The sequence below is a fragment of the Homo sapiens genome, chromosome 7 (genome assembly GCF_000001405.40).
Source record: "Homo sapiens chromosome 7, GRCh38.p14 Primary Assembly".
Lineage (NCBI taxonomy): Eukaryota > Metazoa > Chordata > Mammalia > Primates > Hominidae > Homo > Homo sapiens.
In genome coordinates this window covers 132019448-132030544 of record NC_000007.14, presented here as the reverse complement: position 1 = coordinate 132030544, position 11097 = coordinate 132019448, and positions in this window count along the sequence as shown.

Sequence of the window (11097 nt, the reverse complement as noted above, 5' to 3'; positions counted from 1 at the left end):
CCCCATTTTTCAGGTGAGGAAACCGAGGCTTTGAGAGGGTAATAACTTGCCAAGTTTACACAGTGAGTAAAAATCAGGACTCATTATTATGCACTCTGCTTCCCAGTGCTGTTTAATTAATATAAGATACCACCATACTATCTAATTCATAGGATGGCTGTGAAGATAAGATAATGCATTTATCACAATGCTTTGCTAGATAGTCGTTGCTATTGCTTTTGACATTCTTTTCCTAGGGCTATCTTGGGGCCTCTGAAAGTCCCTCAGCTTCAAGGCTACAACCTAGGGCAGCAAAAACTTGGCAGGCTCCAGAAGGAACTGAGCCAGGGCTTTCTTGGCAAGTGGCCCAGCCTGCACACCCTTCAATAGTCCAGGGTCTCCTATAAATATGCCAACACCAAATCACAGGCTCAGAAGCAAATCTCAATAGTTACTCAATTTCAGGCTCGAAAGCACTTTTCATCTTGCACTTTTAACATCAGCTAAAAAGTTCTCCCAGGTTCCCTGCTTCTGGATCCTTCCATTGAATCTTTTTAAATGCTGAGCCCCTCTCCGCAGAATATCGTTAAATGTCAACTATGAAAAGAGGGGAGTAGAGCCAAAGGGTAGGGAAGAAATCTGGGGAGATTGCCTGACTCTCGTAAGTATTTATTCCCACTTGGTGAGTCAGTGTTTGAGCCAGAACTCTCCCCTGGGCTTCCCAAGGAGGATTTTCGATGCTAGGTGATGGGAAGGCTGAATGCCAACTTCTTCCCAGCCATGCCCTTGAAAACCCTTGGAAACCTCAGACCTTGCTAATAGGTTCAGGGCTGACTCTATGTTGAGCAAGGTGACCTTGTTGTCTCTAATCCATACACTATACAGCAGAGTAAGTATTATTATTCTCACTTTAGAGATAAAGAAACTGAGGCTAGAGGTGTTAAGTCACTGGCCTAGGGCCATACGGCCAATGAGCCAGAACTTGAGCCAGGTCTATTTAGCACTGGTGTCTGAGCTGTTTCTCTCCAAAGGCCCTGCGATTTCTCCCACTGGGACAGGACCCTAGACCTCTAATAGGACTGAGATGCCTTTCCTCCAACCTCTTTCCTGGTCACCTGGACCAGCATATCATCATATGGTCCTCATGAATTCTAACCTCTGCACACCACCCTATCTGAGTGGAAGTGGGCTCCTTTCATGATTTCCTTTTTTTTTTTTTTTTTTTTTTTTTTTTTTTTTTTTTTTTTTTTGAGATGGAGTCTTGCTCTGTTGCCCAGGCTGGAGTGCAATGGTGCAATCTGAGCTCACCGCAACCTCCGCCTCCCAGGTTCAAGCAATTCTCCTGCTTCAGCCTCCCGAGTAGCTGGGATTACAGGCGCCCAACACCATGCTCAGCTAATTTTTGTATTTTTCAGTAGAGACAGGGTTTCACCATGTTGGTCAGGCTGGTCTCGAACTCCTGATGTCAGGTGTTCCACCTGCCTCAGCACTTGGCCACAATTTCCTCTTTCAATTTCATTTATTTTATTTCTAAGGTGGTTATATGGAGAGGAAAAGATAATCTCATTCACTAGGCTGATGCAGGGTGATTGGAGCCCTTGTTTATGAGGTTTTTAGCAGTTTCCCAATTTATCAAAGGGACTCATGTCAAAACCTGTTGGAGGTACCCTCAGTATAGCTTCGTTCTAGGTTTACAGGACTTGAGAGACATTGAGTGGGAAAGGGTCATATCCCTCATCCCTCAGGGGTCAGTGAAAGGAACATGGCGATGAGATGAGACACAGTCAGTCTAAGTCTCCAGGTAATTGTTTTCCATGTCAATGACGGCACAGTGACTCATGGTGCCACCTGCATCAGAATCTCCTTGAGGGCTTGCTAAAGCAGACTGTGGGGCCACGGCCCATCTCTAAATCACAATGCAATCTGCAACAGAGTTCAGGAAAAGTCCTAGGCTCCAGGCGATTCTGATTGGGCAAGTTGCCCAACCTCTTGTGCTTCAGTTATCTTATATTGTAAATTAAGAATAATAATAGTACCTAGCTCCTAAGATGCTGAAAAGAGAGAGAGAAAGTGCTTATCTGTGGGAGCAAAAGTGTTCTAAGCATCTCTGCTTCAGAGCCCTCCAATCCAAAGTTTCACTATAGTCCCTAGATGTAGTAAGTATTTAAGTGACTTGGTTTGCTACTGCAAGCTGGGAAAATGGTAAAAACTAACTGATGATGTCATTACAGCTGAAGAAGACAGAGTAGAGGGTCAAAGTCTTTCTAACTCTAAGCAATCAATCAACAAATATGTAGTGAGCATCCAGTGCGAGCCCAACATCACGGAACCACCAAAGTTCTTACCTATAGCAACTTAATTCAGAGTTGAGGAGATGAGAAAAAAAAACACACACAAGGTTAAATAAGAATTAACTAGAGAACAAGAAAATCATTAAAAGATGTCCCATGTTCATTTATTCGTTCGGCATATATATTCATTAATTTCCTATTGTGTGCCATGCACTTTACTAGAAACTGAAGATACAAGGTTGAATAAATGGTCTCTCCCTCAAGATATTTAAAGTCTAGAGAAAGAGACAGATGAGCAAATCGATGTTCATGATTAATTTACTTTCTTCTGGCTATGAGTATTGACAAAGGATAAGTTTCAGAGTATTTGAAATACTTCATTCAGGGCCTAAGAGATCAGCTCTAACACTTTAAGCAGGAAGGCATTCAAGGTCTGGTTCCTGGTCTCAGAGAATTTAGAGCTCCAGATTCAAAGTCTAGAGATGAATATACTAAGTGGATCACTATCAAAGTAGTAACAGCAGACAGTTTTGAAATCTTATCTAAAGGTAGCTGTGAAGTCTGAAAACACAAGTAAATCTGCTCTAAATTGTTTACCACAATCCATGGGAGGGGGAAATAGGTAAAAGACCCAACCCACCTTTAATAACCCATTCAATAAAGCAGGAAGGTAGAGATGAGAGAATCAAATCACGTCCCCGCTTTCTGCAAAGCTCATTGTCTTGGTTCCTTGACGGGAGGAATAGCACCTGTTTATTCACTGCTATAGAGCCAGCACCTAGCAGACTACCTGGATCTGCTGCCATGGTCGCTGGTGTCTAATCAATAATTGTTGAATTAATCAATGAAAGAATTGATGATACAGTTGTTCAGACCAGAGAGTACAAAGTACTCCGTATGTGGCCAACCATCAGACCAGTGAATTTTTAGCAGACAGCTCTTTTTAGAGAGCTGTCTTCTCTGAGCTCTAGACTTGTGTATCCAACTGTCTATTTGTCAACTCCTCTTAGCTGCTGCAAAGTCTCCTCAAACTCAGAAAGGACGGACTCATGATCACTCCTTGCACATGCTTTCCTAGGTCTGCACATCTCCATGAATGCCACCAACTCGGCCCAGTGACAGAAGCCAGAAACCAAGGGCACATGACTTCACAGCCCTCTCCCCATTCCTTCTCACTCTTCCATCCCTTGGTGCTATCTATTCACTTCCTAAAATTCCCTTAAATCCAGCCCCTGCCATTGTTCTAATCCCTACTAGTATCTTTCTCCTGGGCTAATTCCATTGCATCCCACTCATCTATCTTCATCCTCTCTCCCTAGTATCTCTCTACCTTGTCTTTGCCTCTACCTGCATCACTCCTTATTTCCATCTTTACATTGCTAACACTTTCTCATCCATCAGATCGCAGAGAAACCTGCCCTCGTCTTCTTGACTAGGGCAAGGCTGTCTGCCATGAGCTCTAGCTAACTTCACTTTCATGACATTAGTCATAGCTGCAGTTTTACAGTCACCCATATAGTGGCCCATGGCTGGCTTCCTAACCCAGAATGGCCAACTACATCCATGCATCTGGTAGCAAGGAGGATGGTAGAAGGAATAGTTAGGAATTCAGTTTAAGTAAAAGTGTTTGGGGCAGGAAAGGGAAAGAAAACAATCATTTTGTGCTGCAAAAGTTTTCAGGGTTAGGAAAGGAGTGAGCCCCAGACCCCTGGTTTGCTTGACTCATGGGAGGTGCCTTGACTCAGAAGCTGCCAGCACCCAGTTAAGTACCATCAGTGAGCAAAGCAGGTGCAGGGGAAATGAGAGGGGCACCCCAGAAAGCTCGTGCCTGCCTGAAAGTCAGCTCCAGCTGACTGCTGCCTTGTGGGAACATCAGTCCCGTGTGGTCAGGTCTGGATTTATTTTTTCAGAAGTCTGAAATCAAAATTCTTGGTTATGTCTCCTGCATTTTAAATGCTGGCAAATAATTCAAAATTTAAAAAAAAAAACAATGTGATAGTCAAATAAAACATATCTGTGGTTCCAGTTTCCATATGCAGACTTCGGTTTGCCATCTCTACATTAAGTTATTTCTCTATTTTCCCTACCCCAGCTCTACACAGCCCTATAGTTAATTCCTCTTCTGCCCCTCCGAGTACTTCACATAAACCAGACCCGCTCTGGCTGCTGGTTTGCAGTGCGTTAAGCTCCTTAACTCGTTTCTCAGTGGATTCATCCCAACTTGTCCCTCCCTTCCCAGCCCCCTCTGCTGAAAATTTCATGCTAGATTCCTTACCAGGTTATAAAGATCTCTTAGGCCTAGTCATCACTTATCCACAAATGTCTTTTTCTTTAAAACAACTTTTTAAAAGAGCCTTAGCAGTGGGTTCTCTGAAGGGCCAGAGCCTATCCTGCATCTCCACTCTGCCCCCACCTCCTCCATCCTCATCTTTCTCTACCCTCAGTCCTCTTCTGAGCACTCTCTAAACCCAGAAACCCAGGTCGCTGAGGAACACAGTTTGAAAACTGCTGTACCATTCATCCACCTAAAGACTAGCACTTGAAAATAGCTGTCACAGATCATACCAGTGGGCCAGGTGTGGTGGCTCATACCTGTAATCCCCTCACACCTGTAATCCAGGCCAAAGCAGGAGGATTGCTTGATGCTAGAAGTTTGAGACCAGCCTACGCGATGTAATGACACTCTGTCTCTCCAAAAAAAAAAAAAAAATCCCTCAGTTGTAGCAGTGGGCACCTGTAGTCCCAGCTACTTGAGAGACTGAGGCAGGAGGATTGCTTGAGCCCAGGAGTTTGAGGTTGCAGTGAGCCACAATTGTACCACTGCACTCTAGCTTGGGAGGCGGAGCAAGACCATCTCTAAAAAATAACAAAATAAAATTAAATTAAAATTTTGAAAAATTTAAAAGGCCAGGCCACTAGAAACAAGAGTCCTTACGGCATGAAATCAGATTTCTTCAAATACCACCAGGCAGCCCATCCTGTAAGTCCAACAGGAGGGATGCTACCGCTTAGAATAGAGGTGAGTAGAGCCCCAAATGGGAGTCTTGGCCGGACACAGATGGTGCCCACTCATGGAGATGGGAGTTACCAGCAAGAGAGAAAAGGGAGAGGCTCTACCCTGCCTGGTATCTGGATGTCAATCCCTACAGGTGTTAAATTGTCCCTTCCACGCAGCCTAAGCCCTCCTTTTTCCTCCTCTACTCCTCATCTCTGAGGACGGCCCCACTTGATCACCATGTCGGACATGTGACACACCACACTGAAACAGTCAATCCCCAAGTCTATGGTTTTCATTGCTTGGTTTCCTTCAAATCCATCTCCTTTCCTCCATCCCCACCGACAACCTTAGCCCAAGTGTGTCCCATGCCACAGCCACACAGGACTGCTGGTGTTTCCTCAGAGCATGTGCAAGCTCCCTTTCACTTCATGTCATCACAGATGCTATTGCAACTGCCTCCAGAGTCCCCTTCCTCCTCTCTTCATCAGCTTGATAACTCTTCCTGGTCCTTCGAGTTTAGCTAAAGGGTCTGATTCTGCAGAAAGTCTTTCCTAACTTCCCATACTAACTCTTCTTTTACCCTGCTTCCTTCACTACCCTCTTGGATATTGTTATCAGATTCCTTATCCCATGATCCTGCAATATCCTCTGTCTCTGTGCATCTTCTGCACTATACTGTGAGTAACTCTAAGGCAGGGACCATTCCTCTGACTCAAACTGGAAGCCCAGTGCCTAGCATAGAGGAGGTACTTGCTGTAAGTGTGTTGAATGACTGAAGTGTTCTAACCTTCGCTTGCCCTGAGGGTCGGCAGATTTCAAACAATCCCTTCCTCAGCACACACGGCTTATTTTTAGCATTAGTGGTTTATCTCCCAGCGAAATTTGGTGCCAGCTGTGGTCACCTGTTTGATTGCTCTCTGAGCTCTGCCTTTAACTAGAAATTAATTTGGATTACTTAAGCTTTCCTTGCCCAGCGGAGAAACACCGGCTGGGTAAATCCAAAGCTGCTGGCAATTTTTCCTTTTCTGTTTAATCTCCTTCTCTCATGCACTAACTCTAATTTTGTGCTTTCTGGCTTTCTCCCCGCTCAGTGCCCATTTTTAATCTGCCACATCTGATCCTTCCCAGATGTTAACTCACCTCAGATCTTTCACCTTCTCATCTGTTCATTCACTTCAGGGAAACTGAGGCTAGCCTTGCCAAGGGACCCAGCCACATCACTCAGGAAGTCTGGGGCAGCTCTGACAATGGGAACCAGAAATAAGAAATCCTAAACCCCAGTCTGTTGCCCTCTCAGCCAGATGTTTAGGAGAGTCAGGAATTTTAAAGGCCAACTCTTTGCCCAGAAGTTCTGACCATCGGCAATGCAGGCACGGAACATGGCAGGGCAGATGGGAATGGGCACAGAACATGGCCCCTACCAAACTCTCTTTTTGGCAAGACTATGTCCATTCCTACCTGGGGTCCCCTACTAGCCTCTGCCTGATCAGGGACTGCTTTCACTCTCCAGCTGGCCAGAGAAGACTGTGTTGTGCCAAGCTGTCTGAGAGCCAAAACAGAATTCATTCTAGTCATGAATGCCTACTTCTCTCCCACCTCCCCACCACATCAGCCTTCTGTCCTGCTGTCTTGGCAACAGACTGTCCACACCCTACACTGTCTCCAAAACAAGACTGGCTAGTCTCTATTGAGAAAGGGAGGGCTGGAGTGGGGACACCTATTGATCCCACAGACAACTGAGAGCTGGAACTTTAAGAAAACCAGAGACAAAATGTCTGGTGAGTTCTCAGGGCACTGGACAGGGCAGCTGGGCCTTTATGAGGAACCACTGATTTCTCTAAAGACAGCGTTAAGATAGTTAATTAAATATCAGCAATTTTCTTATCATTGTGAACCTGAATCTGCTATATTTTAAATTTCTACCCGTTGGCTTTAATTTGGTAGAATGTTAACCCATCTTAATTTGGATGCTATAATCCCTAAGTGCATCTAAGAAAGCATTTTTAAAAAATCATCTACTTCAGACGGTTGACTTATCTTGGACTTTTGTGGAGCTGTGCTTGCCTTATCTGTGCACCATATATGTCTTCAAATCTGGATAGAAACTGTCTCCTTCTTGATTTGTATTCTTTGTTCTAACCTCTTGAAATTTTTTAAATAACTGTTTTTTGTTTTTGTTTTTGTTTGAGAAAGTCTCATTCCATCACCCAGGCTGGAGCGCAGTGGTGCAATCTCAGCTCACTGCAACTTCCACCCACCAGGTTCAAGCGATTCTTGAGCCTTAGCCTCCTGAGTAGCTGGAATTACAGGTGCGCCACCACAACTGACTAATTTTTGTATTTTTTGTAGAGATGGGGTTTCACCATGTTGGCCAGGCTGATCTCGAACTCCTGACCTCAAGTGATCTGCCCACCTTGGCCTCCCAAAGTACTAGGATTACGGGCGTGAGCCACCATGCCAGCCCTTTTTTTTTTTTTAAATAATGAAAGCAATATGTGTTCACTATAGAAATTTGGGGCTGAATGCGGTGGCTCACACCCATAATCCCAACACTTTGGCAGGCCGAGGCAGGAGGATTGCTTGAGCCCAGGAATTTGAGACTAGCTTAGATACCAAAGCAAGACCCTGCCTCTACCAAAAAAAAAAACAAAAATTTAAAAACTAGCCAGGCATGGTGGTACATGCGTGTAGTCTCAGCTGAGAGGGATGGGGCAGGGGGAATCACTTGACCCCAGGAGTTCAAGGCTGAAGTGAGCTATGATCAAACCACTGCACTCCAGCCTAAGGGACCAAGTGAGAGTCTGTCAAAGAAAGAAAGAGAGAGGGAGGAAGGGAGGGAAGGGGAGGGAAGGGAAAATGGAGTAAAAAGGGTCTCTCATTGCTGCCTGATATGAGAGTCTCCACGGTTGTGTACAAACCCAACTATAAGGTAAGGTTCTAATTAATCCCCACCCCAACTTCCAAAGCTTCAAGGATACCAGATAAACCCCTCCAGCAAACTATGCCAGAAGGAGTAAAAGCTAAGTGATAAAAATGCTACCATAAATCTTCTTAAAGTGCCCTTCTGCCATGGGCTCCCCATATTCCTGCTCCCCATCCCTTTTCTAGCTCCTGCATTTAACTCTTCTGGAATTTTTTTTTAAGGTATTTCTACTGACCTAGTAGATAAGTGGACCCAGATGGGGATAAAAATTGGTGGCCTTGATTTGGCAATACCTATCAAATGTTTAAAACCTTCATATCTTTTGACTCCAAATCAATACTCTCAGGAATTTGCCCAAAAGAAGTAATCAACCATGAATATGAATATGTACCTGCCAGTATTATTTAAAATAATTTAAAAATTTAAAACAACTTAAATATGTATAAATGTTGATCTTAAGTAAAGTATGCTCTGCCAATACATTGAATTGAAAGTAATGTAGAAGATATACAAGAAAAGATTAATATAATTTACTGTATAAAAATACAAAAAAAAAATTATGGCAAAAAATAGCATTTACAAAATCAAGACAAATGAGTAAAATATTTGCAACATATATGACAGGCAAACTAATTTATTTGATATAAAAAGAGCTCTTTAAAATCAATAAGAAAAAATCTAATAAGTATTGGCCAATAACCAAGATGCTCAATCTTACACAATTAAAGAAATGTAAACTATGTTAGTAGCTACATTCCATTTTTCATCTATAATAAAGGCAAATTAGTATCCAATTATGACCAGAATTTAGAGAAAAATTTGTTCTCTTCATTTTTTGGTAGAAATATAATTTGATGCACTCTCTTTAAAAGATAAGTTGATAATCTACCAAAATGTGAAATTCTTAAATATTTCTACTATAGGAATGTATCCTCGTACACATATTTACACAGGTGGATTAAAATATATACATAGGATATTTACAGCAGTGTTGTTTATAATATCAAAAACCTGGAACAAAATAACTTAAATAAATTATGGCACACCCACACAATGGAATACTATGCTGTTATTAGGCAGAATGAGCTATCTGTATATATACTGATAGAGAAGGCATCATTCAACATATATGAATACATATGATTGATAAATAAAAGACAAAGTTAAAGAATATTTAAGTGTAAATAATTGCATCTGCAATACACACACACACACACACACATCTTTTTCCACATAAGCATAGAAAACTTCTTAGAGGATATGAAAGAAATATGAATAGTGGTGACTTCCAAAGAATACAACTTAAGGGTAAGGGAGATTTTATACTTTATTTCACACCATTCTGAACTATTTGATTTTTTTCTTTCAATACAATTTTTAAAAACACTAGCATGAACCATTCATTGAGCCATTATTAATCACTGACTGTTCCAGGAATTGCTTAGATGCTGAGGTCATAGTGGTGAGCAGGAAGACACTATCTTTTCTCAAGCGGTAAATAATAACATGAAATGAAAAGACTCTTACGATAGAGGGAAGGAGACTATGGTCACAGGGAGAACTGTCTGACCTTAAAAGCTTCAGGCAGAAAGAGGCTTAGCTATTTTTTTTTTTTTTTTTTTTTGAGATGAAGTCTTGCTCTGTTGCCCAGGCTGGAGGGCAGTGGCACTATCTCAGCTCACTGCAACTTCCACCTCCTGGGTTCATGCGATTCTCCTGCCTCAGCCTCCCGAGTAGCTGGGACTACACAGGTGCACACCACCATGCCCAGCTAAATTTTGTATTTTTTATTTTTAATAGAGACAGGGTTTCACCATATTGGCCAGACTGGTCTTGAACTCCTGACCTTGTGATCTGCCCACCTTGGCCGAGGTTTAACTTTTATAAGGAGGAGTAAACAAGAACGGGTATGATGGCGTTATCAGACAGTTGAAGAAAGACTTTTTCTTTGTTGTTGCCCTATTTTCAGGAGGGATCCTGAAGTGGGGCTATTTCTCTGGGTCAAGGTTCAGTGGCCTGTGGGGAGAGGAGAAACGTAACTAAAGTTTGACCAAGACAAGTTAGCGGGTATTTTGTTCAGATTTATCTGTAGGAATCAATAGTCCAGCTGTTCATGTTGAGACCAGGGTCTGTGTCTGGGCCGTTCATAGGTAAGTGAGGGGGTTATCCATGAATCTTGGATACATGGATACTTGGATCTTGATTACACCACTGCACTCCAGCCTGGGCAATAGAGTAAGACTCCATCAGGAAAGAAAGAAGAGAAAGAAAAGAAAAGGAAGAAAGGAAGAAAGACAGAAGGAAAGACAGAAATAAAGGAGGGAGGGAGGGAAAGGAAGGAAAGAAAGGAACCGATTAGAATCCCCAAAAGCCCTAGCAACAGAGCCAGTCTACTCCTGCTACATGCCAATGCTTTCTCACAGTTCTTCCTCAAGTGCCAAGGGGCAATAGGCCAAAGTCTAAAGGCAAGGCAGGAGAACTGAGAAACATTGGGAATGTTTGTTCTTTTCAGTAAGCCATTTCCAGAACACAAAGGGAAGAGGGGACTTAGCCATTGCTGTTTCCAAGGAGGATGGGGCTCAGGAAGAATTTAACACTGTCAAGGACAATTACAGCCCTCAAAGAGCTTTAATTGGGGGAGGGGAGATTTATGAATTAAACCATCAAATAATAGAATCAATAATAAATAAAAGTTAAATAACTGCTTTAAGATGCTTTCACAGTGACTCCTGGGCCCAGAGGAGGCTGTATCAAGTCCACATTTAGCTCTGTGGTTTTGCAGTTTCAAAAATACATCTGTATCTGTCCAGGACCAGAGATCACTGTAATAGAACAGATGGCACTGAAATGGACCTGATTATGTACAAAGATGTAGGATTCATTACAGCTCAATGAGGGAAGGAAAG